This window comes from Homo sapiens, chromosome 2 (assembly GCF_000001405.40).
Source record: "Homo sapiens chromosome 2, GRCh38.p14 Primary Assembly".
Taxonomy (NCBI): Eukaryota; Metazoa; Chordata; class Mammalia; order Primates; family Hominidae; genus Homo; species Homo sapiens.
In genome coordinates this window covers 9,384,300-9,403,056 of record NC_000002.12, presented here as the reverse complement: position 1 = coordinate 9,403,056, position 18,757 = coordinate 9,384,300, and the positions used below count along the sequence as shown (strand labels likewise).

At 51.8% G+C, this 18,757-nt stretch overlaps 1 protein-coding gene and 1 long non-coding RNA gene across 23 annotated transcripts in view, besides 3 other annotated features; one reads left to right on the top strand and one right to left on the bottom strand.

The window, feature by feature from the left end:
• Positions 1-18,757, bottom strand: part of ASAP2 (ArfGAP with SH3 domain, ankyrin repeat and PH domain 2) — a 198,867-nt gene that overhangs the window by 2,622 nt on the left and 177,488 nt on the right. For 12 of the 22 annotated variants that reach the window (XM_011510403.4, XM_011510404.3, XM_011510405.4 and 9 more), the window contains 7 exons: positions 17,699-17,812; positions 14,511-14,763; positions 11,861-11,995; positions 9,410-9,575; positions 2,985-3,034; positions 2,227-2,315; positions 1,661-1,783 (listed from right to left, as the gene is read on the bottom strand). In XM_011510403.4, the coding sequence (XP_011508705.1) occupies positions 1,661-1,783; positions 2,227-2,315; positions 2,985-3,034; positions 9,410-9,575; positions 11,861-11,995; positions 14,511-14,763; positions 17,699-17,812 (930 nt within the window). Of the gene's footprint in view, positions 1-1,660; positions 1,784-2,226; positions 2,316-2,984; positions 3,035-9,409; positions 9,576-11,860; positions 11,996-12,234; positions 13,333-14,510; positions 14,764-17,698; positions 17,813-18,757 lie in introns of those variants that run through there. The other 10 variants (XM_011510407.3, XM_047446201.1, XM_047446208.1 and 7 more) reach the window with 2 other exon arrangements.
• Positions 1,950-2,513: an enhancer, noted in NCBI's record as "H3K27ac-H3K4me1 hESC enhancer chr2:9540673-9541236 (GRCh37/hg19 assembly coordinates)". NCBI's record gives its function as "activates a minimal SCP1, AML or CMV promoter by ChIP-STARR-seq in naive H9 embryonic stem cells {active_cell/tissue: H9 hESC(naive)}" and the evidence as "EXISTENCE:reporter gene assay evidence [ECO:0000049][PMID:30033119]".
• Positions 8,932-9,569: an enhancer, noted in NCBI's record as "H3K27ac-H3K4me1 hESC enhancer chr2:9533617-9534254 (GRCh37/hg19 assembly coordinates)". NCBI's record gives its function as "activates a minimal SCP1, AML or CMV promoter by ChIP-STARR-seq in naive H9 embryonic stem cells {active_cell/tissue: H9 hESC(naive)}" and the evidence as "EXISTENCE:reporter gene assay evidence [ECO:0000049][PMID:30033119]".
• Positions 9,570-10,207: an enhancer, noted in NCBI's record as "H3K27ac-H3K4me1 hESC enhancer chr2:9532979-9533616 (GRCh37/hg19 assembly coordinates)". NCBI's record gives its function as "activates a minimal SCP1, AML or CMV promoter by ChIP-STARR-seq in naive and primed H9 embryonic stem cells {active_cell/tissue: H9 hESC(naive and primed)}" and the evidence as "EXISTENCE:reporter gene assay evidence [ECO:0000049][PMID:30033119]".
• Positions 14,869-18,437, top strand: LOC124907730 (uncharacterized). Its single transcript, XR_007086203.1, has 2 exons — positions 14,869-16,179; positions 17,632-18,437. It is a non-coding gene; the product is annotated as an uncharacterized LOC124907730 (long non-coding RNA).

The window sequence follows — 18,757 nt, the reverse complement described above, 5'->3', positions numbered from 1 at the left end:
TCCCGTGTAAGGAGCTCTTCCCAGCCATGTCCCAGATGTTCGCTCGTGGGGATGGCCACCCCCACCTGTTCTTGGGAGGCACACAGGTCAGCTGTCTGACCACTACTTCCCACTTGCCATTTTTCAATGAATGAATGAATGAATGAACTGAGTGTCACAAGTTTGTGAGCTGCAACGTCACCTAAAGTGGCAAAGGTATAAGTTGGCCCCATTTCAATGAGTTAAGTACTTGTGGAAGGCTTCACTCTATCCACTTATGTTCCCTCTTGGGTAGATACATAAATTATATCCAAATATGATCTCAAGAGTGTAAATGATGTAGGCAAATAAAAGGCTAAAAACAGCCAAAATATGAATGGTGGGCTTTTTGTGGAGTGGGTGGGGGGTGCTGTGGTTATGGGCAACTTCTGTTTTCTTCTTTATGCCTCTATTTTCCAGTTTTGGAAATGAGCAGGTATTTTCCACATGGCTAAGCCTGTGGTCAGGTTGGCGCCCCTTCCGGATGGTGGGTTGTGGGCAACTGTGGGAGCTGGCTGGTTCCCGAGTAGCTGGGATTACAGGTGCCTGCCACCACACCTAGCTAATTTTTTGTATTTTTAGTAGAGAACCATGTTGGCCAGGCTGGTCTCGAACTCCTGACCTCAAGTGTTCCGCCTGCCTCGGCCTCCCAAAGTGCTGGGATTATGGGCGTGAGCCACCGCGCCCAGGCCACAGACACTTTCAATCCATTAAGGGCAAACGAGGCCACAGGAAAGACCGGTGAACCCAGCTCTGCCAAATGAAGGCAGTGCTGCCTGGCCCTGAGAGCTCACAGCGCCTCTGGAGGCTGAAGACATGCAGTTTAAACACTAGTGGGAGTTCTGGGAGGGACAGTGACTAAAGACAGTGTCCAAACTCCTCGCACTCGACAAAGAAGTTCCCCTAAATCCTGTGAGTTCCCAGCTGAACTGTCTGCTCTGAGCTCAGTTGCGGAGCTGTGCCACTTGCGTCTACTGTGTGGTGGGCTCAGCCTGGGGCTTTCTGTCCACGCCCCATTCAAGCCGGTTCATCCACCGCCCTCACTGTCTGCAGCTGCCGCTTAGTGGGTGCTCACAAGATCACCTGCACCAGACTGTGTGTGTGTGACCTCCCTGTCACAGATGATCCCACTAATGCTTAAAGATAAAAGCAACCTGCCCCAAGCCACCAGCCCCTGAGTGGCCAAGTCTGAATTCTTAGGTGGCCGGCACTCATCTTGCTCCCACACCCTGCTGGACGCCTGGGCGGCCACAGCTTGTTTCAGGACCAGACTCAGGCCTGGGGCTCTGCGCTCTAGGTCAGCTCTCTCCAGACACCCGATTCCACTAATCCAGCAATGGGGGGTGATGACCTAGAAACTCAAGACCTCAAAATGAAGGAGTGTCATTTCAGGCCCTCATGAGTGCTGTGGAAACTGCACCCTAACAGGGGAGGAAGCCACCCTGGGGAATAATCAGGCCTGCTCAGAAGGGGGTGTCCATGGAGGAAGCAGCTCCTGAGGATGCTAAGGGGCGGAGGCACCAGGAACTACATCTGGACTGCTCAGGCTGAGAAAACCTCACCTGCAAGCCCGTCTCTCCAGCCAGGTGGGCAGGGACGTGGCTCAGCCCCCAGGAACCTCCCAGGCCCACCCTTGACTCACCCACCACTCCTGGTCCTCCTCCCCGTCCACGATGATCACATCCCCCTCGGAGAAGGTGAGCTCATCGGGGTTGTCAGCCACACAGTTATAGAGCGCTTTCACCCGCTTAGGCTTCAACTTGGTCTGGGTCAGGAGAGGGAACAACGGTTAGTGTGGCTGCAGGCCTCAGCTCTCAGGGCAGAGAGCTCAAGCACCCTGCCTTCCCCGGTCTCAGGAGTCCCGTACCTAGGCCTGAGAAGCCTGCAGATGCCAAGGTGGGGCAGGTCAGTGCAGCTCAGGAGCCAGGGAGAGAAAAGGGAAGAGCTCCCCACCAAGCAGAGAGAAGGGGCCAAGGGCTGGGAAACGAAGCGGCCGGGGCAGGGTACTCTGAGTGGGCCCATTGTGGAGCTGCGGCAGGAGGGCCAAACCCACCAGCTGCCCAGATCCAAGCAGTCAGGTACCAAGAAGAGCCCCGCCCTGCCCCAGCCAGGGGAAGAGGGGAAGACTTGCTTCCCCTGAGCCCTTGTGAAACCACCTGCACCCCCCTGGCTAGAGCAGAGAGGCAGGAAAGGGGGCTCGTCACTTACTGCCTGCGACTTCCTAGGCATGGGTGCAGGGGGCTGCAGGACCATAGCATTGGACAGAGGACCCAGAGCTTCCGTTGCAGAGAGATCCACTGTAGGGCAAAAATGAAGCAGCTTAAGACATCCCATCAATCACAGCCATGAGATGTAAACAATGTACAAGCCACAGGGTGTGTCTGAAAGCAGGTTTCCCCAGGTGTTCCGATCTGTTGAGGGGAAAGGGAACCTTCTGACTTGGATGCAGACCTTGGAGAGCTTGTGTGGCAGCGAGTGTCCCCCAGTGAGCCTGCCATGTCAGCAGGAGGGGACAGGTGAGGGGCCCCAGGACTGAGCTGCTCAGGAGCAGGGGTCTCAGAGGCCGAGGGAGGAGGGAGGATGGCAGGAGGGAGGAGGGAGGAGGAAGGCAGGGAGGAGGGTGAGAGGAGGGGAGGGGAAGGGAGGGGTGGAGGAAGGCAGGTGGCGGGGGAGGAAGGCATGAGATGGGGGAGGGAGGGGGAGAGGAGGAGAAGGGAGCAGAGGAAGGCAGGAGTGGGGGAGGAAGGAAGGAAGGAGGGAAGGAAGGAGAGGAAGAGGGCAGGAGGGGAAGGGGGCAGGAGGGGAGGGGGCAGGAGGGGAGGGGGCAGGAGGGGAGGGGGCAGGAGGGCTGTGGAATGGCAGACAGCTGGGCCCTCCCTCAGTCCTGACCACCTGGCAGGAAACATCCCCCACATTGCCCCCATGGACCAAGCAGAAACAAACTCAGTCCCAAATTAAATAATTACCAGGTCCTCTCGGTTGGCCTTTGTTGGTCAGTGGGGTGGACTTGTCAGCCCTACAAAGACAGGGAAAAAGTAGATTTACTGCTACCGGAGGGCACCTGCCCCTTTCTCATCCCCTTTTATCAGAGAACCTTCTGAGTTCAAGCTCAGAGTGTGTGAGGTGGTTTCCTCCACTGTCACTTAGCTGTCTCTTTTTTATGGGAAAAGGAAGAATGAGAGGCCCTGAGGAAAGTGCTAAATTCAACGTTTCTGATCCTAAAACCAGGGCTTTTCCAGAGCACTCTGTCCACGTGAGCCTGCCACCGATGGCCAGGGTCTGGAGTGATGCTGGGCACTGGCCACTGGCCCCGCCCCGAGTCTGCTCAGCCCCTTCCCTGCCTTGGTCCCATCACATGAAAGGGCAGGGCTGAACCTTAACCTCAGGCCCAGATGGCTTTGCCAGGACGGGTCCGAGCACTCTGGGTCAGCGCTGTCCATGCCTCTGCCGTCCCTGCTTCTGGGAACCAATGTGGCTGACCACGGGCTCAAGCCCCATCCATGAACCTCTGGGCCAGCACACCCCAAAGCCACAAGGTAGAAACACATGAGTGAGGAAGTAGTTCTCAGGGCTGGCAGAGAGGGGTCCCTCATCTCGAACCTGCCACCTGGCAGCCCTGGATAAATGGGTTCTGGAGAGTCAGCATTTTCATCTGCAAAAGGTGTGACACAAGATCCGTCAACTCCAGAGCTAAGGACCAGTGCCAGTGGCTTCAGCTCCCCGGTGGATCTCCTGGACCTAGCATAAAGCCAGGCACAGGACGGGGGCTGGAGAAGCAGAAGAGGAAGACCAGGGAGGAAGGGAAGGGGAAGGCAAGGATGGGATTCTTTCCACTGTACGCTCCCGTCTGTCGACACTCCCTTCGCTGCTCGGAATGAACCCTGTCTGGCCTCAATGCTTGCAGTCCCAGAATGAAGGGAGAGAAAACATCACATGGGTTTTGCTCATACGCTGAAGGAACTGAAAAGGAACTTTGTTTTATTCCATAAAACAAAGACCCCTCCCATTTGACCAGTCTAGCCATTTGTTTTCCATCTGTGTCTCTGGGTGTAAATGTCTCTGCAGACATCACTACACTGACCTGGCTGACCCCCTGGCCGGCAGTCATCCCTAACTACAGAACACTCGCAGGGAAGGCCTGATCCTCTGAGACAGCAGTGAGCAGACTTTTTCTTTAAAGAGGCAGATAGTAAACTTTTTAGGCTTTGTGAATTTTTTTTTTTTTTTTTTGAGATGGAGTCTTGCACTGTCACCCGGGTTAGAGTGCAGTGGCACAATCTCGGCTCACTGCAACCTCTGCCACCCGGGTTCAAGCAATTCTCCTGCCTCAGCCTCCCGAGTAGCTGGAATTACAGGTGTGCACCACCACGCACAGCAAATTTTTTGTATTTTCAGTAGAGACGGGGTTTCACCATGTGGGCCAGGCTGGTCTCAAACTCCTGACCTCAGGTGATCTGCCCACCTCGGCCTCCCAAAGTGCTAGGATTACGGGTGTGAGCCACTGTGCCTGGCCTTTGTGTTTGTTTTTTGAGTCAGGGTCCTGCCCTATTACCCAAGCTCGAGTGCAGTGCGGCAATCAGTTCACCGCAGCCTCGGAACTCCTGGGGTCAAGTGATCCTCCCGCTTCAGCCTCCTGAGTAGTTGGGACTACAGGTGCACGCCACCATGCTTGGCTAACTTTCAAAATTTTTTGTAAAGACATGGTCTCACTATGTTTTCCAGCCTGGTCTCGAACTCCTAGTCTCAAGCAATCCTCCTGCCTCGGCCTCCCAAAGCTCTGGGATTATAGGTGTGAGCCACTGCACCCAGCTGGTTTTGTGGATTCTAGCATCTCTGTTTCAAGTATTCAACTCTGCCACTGTGGTGTGAAAGCAGCCCCAGACTACATAAAAAAACAGGTGTGGCTAATGTTCCAATAATATTTTCTGAGTGCTGAAGTGAATCTCACACAATTTTCATGTGCCACAAAATATCCTTTTGAGGCCGGGCGCAGTGGCTCACGCCTGTAATCCCAGCACTTTGGGAGGCCGAGGCGGGCGGATCATGAGGTCAGGAGATCGAGACCATCTTGGCTAACATGCTGAAACCTCATCTCTACTAAAAATACAAAAAATTAGCCGGGCGTGGTGGCGGGCGCCTGTAGTCCCAGCTACTCAGGAGGCTGAGGCAGGAGAATGGCGTGAACCCGGGAGGCGGAGCTTGCAATGAGCAGAGATCGAGCCACTGCACTCCAGCCTGGGCGACAGAGCGAGACTCCGTCTCAAAAAAAAAAAAAAAAAAAAAAAAAATATATATATATATATATATATATCCTTTTGATTTTTTTTTCCCAACCAATTACAAATATAAAAGCCATTCTTAGTTCTTAGCTCATGGCCCTAAAAAACAGGCAGCAGGCTGGATGTGGCCTGTGAGCCATAGTTTGCTGACTCCTACCCTAAGAGAACAGGTGTGAAAATTCACATTTATCCCAGAGACAAAATCACCGGTGGTGGGGAAGGGATAGCATCCTTCACAAGGAGGGCGTACCGGTGTGTTCCTTTACAGTCAGAACTCCACTGGGCGCTGACGACATGGCTCCGTCCATCCCCGTCTGTCCCGGGTAGCCCTAACCTCACTTGCCCTGCTTCCCTTTTTCCTGCCAGTCAGATGTGAAACCAGGTAAAATTGTGTTCCAGAGGAAACCTGTCCAGCTCCCGCCAGCTAGAACGCTTCTGAGAACAAGGAACCTGCACCTCACAGCTGACAACCACGGTTCTCAGAGTCCCAATAACTGCTGGGAGCTGACGGCTCCTTAGCCAGGACTTCAACACGTGATTTGTTTCTCTCGAAAAACAGCAGCATGGAAAGCGTAAATCCCAGGGAGTCATAAGGGAAGGCAGAAGAGAGCCCAGAAGCCAAGAGAAGCATGGCCTGTGGCCACTTTGGTATAGAGGCAGAAATAATTAGCACTGGAAAGCCCATTTATTACAGCATAATTCAGTAGCTGTTTAAGACTAGGAGGGCACAGATATGCATATTTTATTTTTATTTTTTTGAGACGGAGTCTGGCTCTGTTGCCCAGGCTGGAGTGCAGTGGTGTGATCTTGGCTCACTGCAACCTCCACCTCCTGGGTTCAAGTGATTCTCCTGCCTCTGCCTCCCGAGTAGCTGGGATTACAGGTGTGTGCCATCATGCCCGGCTAATTTTTGTAATTTTAGTAGAGATAGGGTTTTGCCATGTTGGCCATGCAGGTCTTGAACTCTTGGCTTCAAGTGATCCACCCACCTTGGCCTCCCAAAGTGCTGGGATTGTAGGTGTGAGCCACTGTGCCCAGCCCTGCATGTTATATTTTAGAAAGTTATCTTGCAAAGTAGCATTTAAAAAGTTTTGGGAGTCTTCTGGTTAAAATGGCAGATTTAAGTACATTTACTTCCATTTCTTTCCAAGGAAAAGGATTTTTAAAAATTAAACCTAAAAGAGGTGAGGCGCAGTGCCTCATGCCTGTAATCCCAGTACTCTGAAAGGCCAAGGTGGGAGGACTGCTTGAGCCCAGGAGTTCGAGACCAGCCTGGGCAACATAAGGAGACCCCCACCTCTACAAAATATAAAAATAAATTAACCGGGCATGGTGGTGCGTGCCTGTGGTCCCAGCTATGCGGAGGCTGAGGTGGGAGGATCACCTGGGCCCAGGAGGTCGAGGCTGCGGTGAACCGTGATCACACCACTGTACTCCAGCCTGGGCAACAGAGTGAAAGATAAATCACAGTCAACCTAGTTGATCTCAGGAATGGAATCCCACTCCAGCAGTGAGGAAGGCCCTGAAATGCTCCTATCTGTAGTCCTGAAGTGTCCTCAGAAGGCTCAGGACCCTCTGGAAGGGGAGAAAGGCAAGGTAGTATGCAGAAGAATTAGCCAAAAATCTGTCTGAGGAGCTCCTGAACCCCTGGAATCTCGCCCCAGCTCTGAGTAGCCTTAGCCGCTGCCCTGCCCAACCTACTAAGGACAGGAAGCTTCTATTCTTGGAGAGGGCAAAACGGACGGTGTCTGGATGGGGGATACCAGGTGCGGCTATTGGGAATATCTTGAAAAACAGAGGGACTAAGTAAAAGTTTAACTTTATTTCTCTACTCCTAAAAAACTTCAGGGATGGGCTGGGCACAGTGGCTCAAGCCTGTAATCCCAGCACTTTGGGAGGCCGAGGAGGGCAGATCACGAGGTCAGGAGATTGAGACCATCCTGGCTAACCCGGTGAAACCCCATCTCTACTAAAAATATAAAAAATTGGCCAGGCGTGGTGGTGGGCACCTGTAGTCCCAGCTACTTGGGAGGCTGAGGCAGGAGAATGGTGTGAACCTGGGAAGCGGAACTTGCAGTGAGCCAAGATCGCGCCACCGCACTCCAGCCTGGGCGACAGAGCAAGACTCCATCTCAAAAAAAAAAAAAAAAAAAAAAAAAAAAAAAGAAAAAAAACACAAGAAAAACAAAACAAAACAAAACAAAAAAACAAAAACACAGTAGTGCAGGGATTACAGATGTGGGCCATGGTGCCTAGTCTCCAAATTCTTTATTTTTTTATTTTTGAGATGGAGTTTCATTCTTGTTGCCCAGGCTGGAGTACAATGACGTGATCTCAGCTCCCTGCAACCTCCGCCTCCTGGGTTCAAGGGATTCTCCTGCCTCAGCCTCCTGAGTAGCTGGGATTACAGGTGCATGCCACCATGCCCAGCTAATTTTTTTGTATTTTTAGTAGAGGTGGGGTTTTGCCATGTTGGCCAGGCTGGTCTCAAACTCTGGACCTCAGGTGATCCGCCCACCTTGGTCTCCCAAAGTACTGGGATTACAGGCGTGAGCCATGGCGCCTGGCCCCAAATTCTTTATTGAGAGGTGGAACTGATGACTTCCTTGTGCCACTCCACAGTCCTCTCTGCCCCGACTGTGTCTGAGCTTGTAACTGAGCAGTGACGTATGGCGGAAGTCATTCCGTGCCAGCTTCCAGGGCCAGGCCTCTCTCTGGGGACCTGTCCGTGGACCCAGCCACCGTGATATGAGGAAGCCCATGCCAGGGACATGTAGGTGTTCTGGTCACAGCCCAGCTGAGGCTCTGGCTGACAGGCAGCGTCAGCTACCACGGGGGGCGTGAAGAGACTCTGACCGTAACCCCCAGCCAACGAGTCACCTCCTGTGTCCAACCACCCCCAGGCTTCGAGTCCTTTCAGCGAAGGCTCCAGACACTGTGGAGAAAAGACGAAGACCCCACAGTACCATCCAAATTCCTGACAATCTGTCAGCAGAATAAACTGGCTGTGCCTCATGTCTGTCAGTCTGGTGTGGTTTGTTACTAGAACAACTGAAATCAGAGATGTCAATGTGAACTCATGGATTTCAATACAGAAATATACGGAATAGAGAGATAAGTGGTGTATGTATGTATCCATGTACATGTGCGTATATTTCCAAGTTCTAACAGCTCAGAGGGCCTGTGTGGGAGCAGTGACTCTCCACCTAGCCCCCAGAACTTGGCCTCTAAATATCATTTCCACTAAAAGGAACCATTTCCCACCATAAAGATCCAGATTAAGAGCCACGAACTGGGGCCTGGTGCAGTGGCTCACGCCTGTAATCCCAGCACTTTGGGAGGCCGAGGCAGGTGGATCACGAGGTCAGGAGATCGAGACCATCCTGGCTAACACGGCGAAACCTCGTCTCTACTAGAAATACAAAAAATTAGCCAGGCGTGGTGGGAGGCACCTGTAGTCCCAGCTACTCGGGAGGCTCAGGCAGGAGAATGGCAAGAACCCTGGAGGCAGAGCTTGCAGTGAGCCGAGATCACGCCACTGCACTCCAGCCTGGGTGACAGAGCTAGACTCAGTCTCAAAAAAAAAAAAAAAAAAAAAAAGCCACAAACTAGACCCATCTGCAACAAGGGGCATTATTTGGACAAACAGCTAAGCTTGACCTGGGTCTAAGGATTGGGTGGTGTTTCTACATCCGTGTTAATTTCCTGATTTTGCAGGTGGTATTGTGTGAGGTAGGACAATGTCCTTGTTTGTGGGAAATCCACGCCTCACACCACAGAGGGTCTATGTGTTCAAAACAACCTTGGGAAAATAGAAAACAGAAACAGAGACCACCTGGGGGGTGAGCAGCAAATAGAACCCAGAAGCCTTGTGTGTTGAGGACACTTTGTCTGAATTCATTCTGTGGACTTAAAATGTACATTTGTAAGACATTTTTACAGTCTAAAAATCCTCCAGTTATTTTTAAGACCCTTCAGCCCCGATGAATTAGTTATGTGGCGCCCACGCTGGAGTAGGAGCCCTGGGGATTGCAAACATTCCTGCAGAGCCCTGGGCAGGTGAGGTCAGAGGGCAGGAGCACGGATGGCCGAGCTGGCTGGGGGTGGCTTACCCCGGCGCAGGCTTCTTCTGCGGGAGGCGGCTGGGCGGCTGTGGGGGCAGAGGTGGGGGCCTGATCTGTGAGATCCCAGGCGGGGCAGGCTTGCTCGGCTGGCTCAAGGCTTCCATTACGCTGGGCGTCTTGGCAACGGGTGGGGGCGGCGTGGGGGTCAGGGGATCTGCGGAGGACAGGGAGAGACGTGCAGAGGGTCAGCCGCCAGGCTTCCCACTCAGGCCTCCTCACTGGAGGCTTTTCTGAGAAGGGCTTCAGTTTTTTATTGCTATTTCCTAAGGAAAAACCTGCTGCTATTTCCTTGCCAGTTTTCAGAAAACCATTCACAGGGAGGAAGCAGGGAGTCCTTTCCAAACTAATAAGGAAGCTGGGAGCCTAAAGTTAGGATGACAATTTTTCTATCAGCCTGTGAGTGAGTATTTTCTCAGCTAGAACTCCCTGGGGGAAAGCCAGCAGTTTCCTGCTCTCCACTCAAAGACCCAACAGCAGGAGGCCGGGGCCCTCAGCTCTGCCCGGGGAAGCAGGGCCTGCTTTGCACATCGACTGACCTGTGGCCAAAGGGATGAGGCCCTACCCACTTCATCGGGCTGCTGGGCAGGGTGGATCTGAGGAGAGATGGGAGCTACTAACTTAGTAACGGCTCCTCAGTCTCCGGAGTGGGTGGGTGAAGAGCTTTCTTAGTGTCTACGTTTTACAGACAAGGAGGCTGAGGCCCACGGAGGGGAAGAGCTCTCGTCAAGGGTGGCAGAGCTGGTAAGACCTGGAGGGAGGCTGTGAGTCCAAGTCTCCTTCCTCCGTCTCTCCTCCCTTGATAGGCATTAAGCCCTCTCTAAATGTCGGGCTTATCATACTGGGCCTCAGGATGGGTAACACATAAGGCGCTGGGTTTCCCTCTGCCAGGAAAAGCCAGGAAGAATGAGGCCTTCAGCTACACAGAGAGGAAACTGGCGTGGGGAAACATGAAGGGATCCAGCTTATGATCTTTCTTTTTATCATTATTGTTTCCTTTTTCCAATTTAAAGGAAAACTCAAAAGTCTGACTCTAGCACACAAATGCAGCCCCTGGACCACCAGACGGAGAGGCAGGAAAGTGGTTCCTTCTGGCCTTTGGTGTGTTCGCCTTGGAAACCTCTGAAGACCCTCCCAGACCCACTGCTCCCGGCTCTGCTGCCGGCATGTGCACACATGGCACTGACTCTAGCTGGGGCTGGGCTGCTTTTAATTTTAACTTACTCTAAGGAAGTCACGAGCACCTCGGCTCTAGAATTCTCATGCTCTGGAAGCAATGAAGCCCAGAGATGCTGGACTCCCCACTCCAGGGCTGCTGCAGCAGGAGACAGGGCAGCATCCAGGGCTCGCTTCTCTGATCCAGTGAAAAAAGACTTTAGTTCTGTACACTGGAGAAAAACTTCTTCCTAAAAACCTCCTCCCGCTTCTTTACCCAAGGTTTTCAGGACTTTCAACCACATGTTGATATTAAAGAAAACATGCCAGGCTGGGCGTGGTGGCCCACACCTGTAATCCCAGCACTTTGGGAGGACAAGGCGGGTGGATCACTTGAGCCCAGGAATTCGAGCCTGGGCAACATAGCAAAACCCTGTCTCTACAAAAAATACGCTTGCACCAATAATCCCAGCTACTCAGGAGGCTAAGGCAGGAGGATCCCTTGAACCCAGGAGTTGGAGGCTGCAGTGAGCCATGATTGTGCCACTGCACTCCAGCCTGGGGGACAAAGAGAGACCCTGTCTTAAAAAGAAAAACAAGGCTGGGCACCATGGATCATGCCTGTAATCCCAGAACTCTGGGAGGCTGAGGCAGGTGGATCACCTGAGGTCAGGAGTTCGAGACCAGGCTGGCCAACATGGTGAAACCCCATCTCTACTAAAAATACAAAAAAAAAAAAAAAATAGCTGAGCATGGTGGCAGGCTCCTGTAATCCCAGCTACCTGGGAGGCTGAGGCAGGACGATCTCTTGAACCCGGGAGGCAGAGGTTGCAGCAAGCCAAGATTGTGCCATTGCATCCAGCCTGGGCGATGGAGTGAGACTCTGTCTCAAAAAAAAAAAAAAAAAGAAAAAGAAAAGAAAAACAAAAAGCCAGATTCTAATCCAAGTGACTGTCCCCAAAATATTGAAAATCACCAAATGGCCAAAGGAAAAAGAAACCCTGGGGTACTGTGTAAAGGAGGAAATGTTGCTGAAATGCTTTGGAAGACAGAGGAAGGGAGTGAGGAAGCTACTTGGTGGTGCAGTGTGGGGACAGGCAGGGGTTTGCAGCTGTGACGAAGGAGGCTGGGGGAGCTGAGAGCCCTGCACAAGAGCCACAGGGAGCCATACAACACGGGGCACTTGGCACGTGTCTGTGCTGGCAGCTGTGTGGCTCCAGAGAGCACCCCCCGCCATCCAGATCTACAAAGCCCACGGGCAAGAAAGGAAAAAGGAAAAAAACGTACTGGTAGATGTCACGCGAAGAGGGGGCAGCGGTGGATGGACAGCTGGCGGATCTGACGAAGATCGCTGCCGGCTTCCACCGTCCACACTTACAGAGTTTGTCTTCCACAGGGTGTTAGCAGAGGAGGCTGTCTGAACTGAACCCACACGCATGCACACAGACGCATGCACGCACACATACACGTGCACACACGAACAAAAACAGAAACAGAACACTGCGTTATTGATCCTCCCCCTTATGAAACGGTCAGTATGACCCTTCTACCTAGAACCCTCAATGCTTTTACTCCTGTCTCCGGCATGTGGAAGATAGACACTGATACTCGCGAAACCGAAGAGGCTCCAAGGACTATTCTCAGCAGGTTTTCTCAATCCATGAAATTTAAAATTCCTGAGTTTATTTATCAAATATCAGTATCATTTGAAGAAGGAAATAAACAGTCACAATGTTCTCTTGCGAACACTGCACTTGGAGCTTCTGGAACTTCTGCTCCTCTCCACCCTCCCACCGACTCCTTCCCATGGGCTGTGGGAGTCACCACCATGTGAAGAGGAACACCGTGTGCCCAGCTGGCACAGGTTGGGGGCAGAGTGCAAATCAGACACTAGAGGAGGGGCTCTCTCTCCCTCCCTCCCGCAAACATATTTCTGGCTGGAAGCAGACACAGATGACACCAATCAGGTTCAGGTGACCCACAAGAGATGGCATTTTCCAGGTCACAAGCCCTTCTTCTGCCTCACAAACCTCCAAGCTCAGGTGCACAGGGCCCAGGTGCTAGGTGTGACCCCATGTTGGAGGCTGTGCACGGCCTGTAGGGCAAAGGCTAGGCCTAGAAATGGGCCAGGCCACTGGGTCCAGAGGAAGCCTTCGAGCTCCTCCCCTGGGGAGCCAGGTCCGCCCCAAATGCAAGGCTGACACTGTCAACTCCATTTGCTATTTATCTGCATGTGAGAATTCCATCCAAGACCACATGTGGGCTACACAGAGAATGGTGGAGATGGCAGGTAAGGGGTATGACCTACATTACTGGAAGAAGAAATGATGCTAGGGACAGGAACGGCAAAAAGAAAAAGGAAAAAAAATCAAAACCCTTGAATTCCAAGACTTCGGGAAACCAGGAGATTAAGAGTTTACCCCTCCATGACCCAGTGGAACAAAATAAAATCTTTCCTCCCGTGACACACACAGTCAGCAAAAGCCACTGCTGGGAAGGAGGATGATCAAAATCATCTTGATTGTGGGCCGTAGAAAATTGATGCCTGCCTGCAGGATCTGGGAGAGGCGGGGAGAAAGCCGCACCCACCCTGGGCCCCGACCAGCCAGCCTGGGGGTTTGACAGGGAGGAGATGCGACTGTGTGGCTTCATCTTGTAGCTGCCTTCTGTGCTCAGGGACGTCCTCATCAAGCCAGGGATGGACGCGGTCTGGGATGTGGGCTGTGTGGGGACAGCAAGCAGCTGGCTTCTGGGCCTGCCTGGGGGAAGGTCTGCTCTCAGCAGGTTTGTTCTTCGGGGTATGACTCAGTGACTCACATGACAGGTTCACTGTCACTTCTCTGGGCCTCCCTGAATGACAGGGGCAGAGCCGTGTGAGGGTCTGTGAGACACCCAGGACGGCAGGGAAGATGGGCCCAGCAGCACAGCCGAGTGTACGTGCAGCACAAAGCTGCAGCCGTCTGCTCAGCCCTGGGCCAGGTCTCCCGGCCTCAGCCACCCTCACGCACCGACCCAGCCTGCCCAGCTAGCAGCTACCACATAAGGACAGTTTGGGATGTATTTGGGGACGTGGGCTCCACTCCATCAGCGGCTCACAGCGGCCACAATGCCTGGATACATGCTCTGTGCAGACTCTTGTCCTTCCTGGGCCCCCCGCCCCGCATCAAAGTCTCAGCAGCCTCCTTCATGTGGGAAACCCTCTGAAGGCCATGGCCACGACTGGAGCTCAGCCCAGAGCTGAGTGGGTCACTCGCCGGACCTGCCTTCAAGAAGCACCGTAGCCAGCTGCTCTTCAGGAATGAACAAATTACTTAACTTCTGAGAGCTTTGGTTTGCGTATTTCTAAAAACAGAAAGTGTCACCTGTTGAGTCAAAACCTCCAGGTTACAGCTGAGGTAAGAAAAGCATGCTTTTTGCCCTAAGACACTGGTAGGCCCACAGGGCTGGTTTTGTATTTTACAATTAGGCCGAGCATCGTTCCCCAATATCTTTTATGGGGATCATGGGTAAGAAGTAATCGCAGGGGCCATGAGCTGGACCAGATGAAGGCAGAAGAGAAATAAAAAGGAAGAATGAAGGCCTGGGAAGGAGTGGAGAAAGGTAAACAGAAGGGTGCAGAGGGGAGACCTGAAGGAGTGTGTCTTTTGGCCCAGCCCCGGGAGCCCAGTTGGCCACCTCAGGCTGCCCTGGGGGAGTTCCCATGTTACCCAAGCCAGGCAGATGCCACAACTCTGCCCAGAATAAGAGTCAAATCAAGAGACTCTACCACCATCTGGCCTGATAAGAATGATGGAATCCCTTTAGGAAGCAAACAGAAAATAACTACAAAACAAAAGAGCCCAAAGGTCACTGAGTTGGAGGCAGGGCAGCTGCAAACTTCCCAAACCACAAAACAAGACCCTCTATATATTCACAGGGATGACGGACAGCTTCATACCTTTGCCAACATTCCGTGGAGGAAGCGGGGGGGCGCTGGTGGTGCTGGGGGCTGCAGGCTGGGCGGGAGGTGGGCTGCCACTCAGGAGGGCTCCGTAAGTCTCATTCTGCAAGATGCTGGGCATGAAAGCCCTCTGCTTCTCCTTGGCAAGGTTTGCAGCATCTCTGGCCAAAGATACAGCGTTAGACTGAAGCTGGTTGGAGCCCAGCTGGTAGAAGCTGATGGGCCGGTCTTCCCGCCGGTTGGGACTGGGCTGCAGGAGAACATTGGGGCAGAGGCGTGTGAGACAAATATGAACTGCTCCTGGTGATAACATTCAACACAGGGGTGAAAACCTCACTGACACCAACTCTGCTGGGCCTGGTACCATTTGAGCTCTCAACTGTTGCCTGAGAGCTACAAGTTGCGTGAGAGCTGCAAGAGTGAAAATTCACTCCTCCTTGTGTCTCGTGAAGGAAACACACACTGATATGGTTTGGCTTTGTGTCCCCACCCAAATCTCACCTCGAATTGTAATCTTCACTTGTCGAGGGAAGGAGGTGACTGGATCATGGCAGCGGTTCCCCTCTGCTGTTCTTGGGATAGTGAGTTCTCACAAGACCTAATGGTTTTATAAGGCAGTTTTCCCTGCTCTCGCTTGCTCTCTCTCCTGCCACCCTGTGAAGAGGTGCCTGCTTCCCCTTCTGCCATGATTGTATGTTTCCCAGCCATGTGGAGGTGTGAGTGAATTAGACCTCTTTCTTTTATAAACTACCCAGTCTCAGGTATTTCTTTACAGCAGTGTAAGAACTGACTAGTAAACACACACATACCAAAAAATCTGTTAATTACAGGTTAAAATTCTCCATTCTGTGATGGATTTAAAATATAAGCTATTTATCTTATGAGTCGAAGTTATCTCAACCTAAGTCAGCATTTTCCCTGAAGTTCCCCTTCCCAAACATGCCTTCTTATGCTACCCCACAGGGTGGCCAGCTCTGGCCAGCCCGCTGCACTCAATCTCCAACAGCTATATGGCTCATTCAGCAGAGATCGATGTTTTCCTCCCATATGAACAGGAGCTCCTGAGATTCCTCCAAATTAGGGTTAGCAAACAGTGGCCTATGGACTACCACCTGTTTTTTGTCAGTAAAGTTTTATTGGAACATAGCCATGTCCTGTCATTTAGATACTGTCTAAGGCTGCTTTTGAGCCATCCTGGCAGAGCTGAGTAATTGTTAACATGGACTGTGACGCTTTAGGCCCGTAGAGCTTAAAATATTTACTATCTGGCCCTTTAAGAGTTTGGCCACCCCTGCTCCCCCCTGAAGGTTATATGGTTTTTTTTTTTTTTGAGACAGAGTCTCTCTCTGTTGCCCAGGCTGGAATGCAGTGGCGCAATCCCAGCTCACTGCAAGCTCCGCCTCCCGGGTTTACGCCATTCTCCTGCCTCAGCCTCCTGAGTAGCTGGGACTACAGGCGCCCCCCCACCCACCACCAAGCCCGGCTAATTTTTTTGTATTTTTTAGTAGAGACGGGGTTTCACCGTGTTAGCCAAGATGGTCTCAATCTCCTGACCTCGTGATCCGCCCGCCTCAGCCTCCCAAAGTGCTGGGATTACAGGCGTGAGCCCCCGCGCTCGGCCGGTCATGTGCTTTCTTGGAAGTGAATGCATGGAATGATGACTCAGGTAACTTAGACCTAACTTCTATTTCAAATGCCAGCTTCATTAAACTAGGTATGATTGTGAGCAAATGACTCAACCTTGCTGACCACATTCTTGTCTGTTCACTGGATATGACGAGTGCTTTTCTAGCACAATGCCAGGTGCTTAGCAGGTGCTCAGTATGAACTGTGGCAGCCCTGCCTCTCCCTCACAGGACCACCAACCCTTTCTAGGTTCTGGACAAACCAATGGTTCAAACCCAGCTCAGGTGTGCAGAACTAAGCACCCAGTGGTTCTTCACACATATTTCTAAATTGCAAAGCCCACGGCTGCTGTCTGCTGAGAATCAGGTGAGCAGCGTGGATGAGTCTTAGGACTCCACACCAGCCCCTGCTCTTGTGCTTTTCCTTGGACTATGCAACCTGCTTCATCACTGCTCATCAAATGGGAATGTGGCATCTGACCGCTTGATGAAGAGGCAGGCTGGGGCAGACTGCTTCCAGCTTTTTTTTTTTAAGGCAGGTTAAGTATGAAATCAGTCAACTCTTCTCACTTTGACAGTGTTTTGTAGCTAACTCAGTGAAGTAATTTCTTATTCTGTATTCTAAGAAGCAGTTAAGTATGGATGTTAACTCCATGAGCAGACAGTCCAACAGGTTTCAGAAATGCCATCTGGTTACCTACTGACCTATCCATCCATCTAATTAGATATCCTCAATACACATCAGAACATTAATGCATTACAGAAAAAAAAAAAAGCCAAACCATGAAAATGTGTTTAATGTGGCATTTGCCACTAATTCAGCACAGAGCACATTCCAGACATGCCTCGAAGCACCATGCTGAAGGACAGATGGAAGTGGGTCGCGGCTAGGAGCCAGGGCTTTGGGTCACAAGGCCTAAGTCTGACTCTCAGCTCCAAGTCCTGCGTGAAGGCAGCAACCTTCCTGGGGCTCACCCCTGCGTATGAAGCAGTGAGGATGGTAAGAAGGGAGCTGGAGGAGGAGGCAAGAGCCTTCGTGCAGTCCCAAGCCTGCCTCTAAATAGCTGCTTCACTTTGGCCAAGTCAACTTTTCTCTTGAGGCTTCAATATCCCAAACTGATAAAGGAAGGGGTTGGACCCAGTGAGCTCTAAAGGTCGTCTGATGATTTCAGTTGATGTTTTTATAAGATCAACCAGGAGAATGTGATCACCTAGACTGGGGGAAATCTGGCTCTTTATGACATGACTCCATAGCAAGAGACCTTCCTCTAAATCCACTGGAATCAACCCCCCCGCCACACACACCTTTCCTTTGTAGCAAAAGGCTGCCTATAAGTACATAATTAGCCATTCCTTTAAATTAATGGGTGCAGGAGCTGGGAGACAGGAGATGGTAGTGGGAAGGGTAAAACCAAGAGCCTACTGAGATCAATGAAAGCATAAAGTAAGCTACATTTTCATTTCTATAAAACAGCTTTCTGCCTTAATTACAGATTAGGACCCACACTGTTCTGGATGAAGCTGATCAAAACTCTTAATGGTTAGCAACCTGGCACAGACCTGCAATTTCTCATCCATGTCGTCATCACTTTCATCCAGGTCTTCGTGGAGTAGTCGCCATTCATATTCAACGTGAACGTGAGAATTAAATCTTCCAGATAAGGCTTGGGTCAGCTGAGAGAACAGAGGGATGGTCAGTGCTGTTGCTCATACACTCGGCCATGCATCTGGACCCACTGAAGTGTGCAGGCAGGAGGCCTGCCTTCTAGTCCAAGGCAAATGCATGGAAATCTCTGGGTCTCAGGTGAAGCCCCCGCCCCTCTGCCTACTTCACAGCGTAACCTTGAAACTCAAAGCTGGTATGTCCCAGCAAAGGCTTTGTAAACTGTATTAGTTTTCATCCACAGTTCCCGGCTCGTAACTCTCAAATCCCTTGTTACAGTCTTCGGTTATAACATGGAGTGTTAAGGCCTCAGGAGACAGAATCTCTCTGAACTTCTCCTGCCCCAAGGCAGGACTCTTATCGTCCCCCACTTTTCTGACTGTGGGTCTTAAGGCCCTCCCCAGAGAGGGTCTCACCCTGTACCCTGGGGGAAGAGATGCTGACACCAAGAAGCTTCCATAAAAATCAAAGAGGACTGGTTCTCGAGCTTCAGGATGGCAAACCACACAGAGGGTCCTGGAGGGTGGCACCCAGGGAGGGCATGGAACCCCCATGTCCCCTCCCCCACACCTTGCCCTACGCACCTCTCTATCTGTATGCTTTGCAATATCCTTTATAATAAACCAGTAAACACAAGTGTCTCCCTGAGTTCTATGAGCCACTCCAGCAAATTATTCAAACCCAAAGAGGGGGCTGTGGGAACCCCAACTTGAAGCCGGTTGGTCAGAAGTTCTGGAGGTTGATTTGTGACTGGTGTCTGGGGTGGAAGACAGTCTTGGGGACTGAGCCCCCAGCCTGTGGGATCTAACACTACCTCCAAGTAGATAGTGTCTAATTGAACTGGAGGACAGCCAGCTGGTGTCTGCTGCTTGTGAAACCGCCTTTACAAGAACATGGTAGTGAAAAAAGTCTAGCATGGCTGACTCCATCTTGCTTCTGGCCTCACAGGCTGGCTG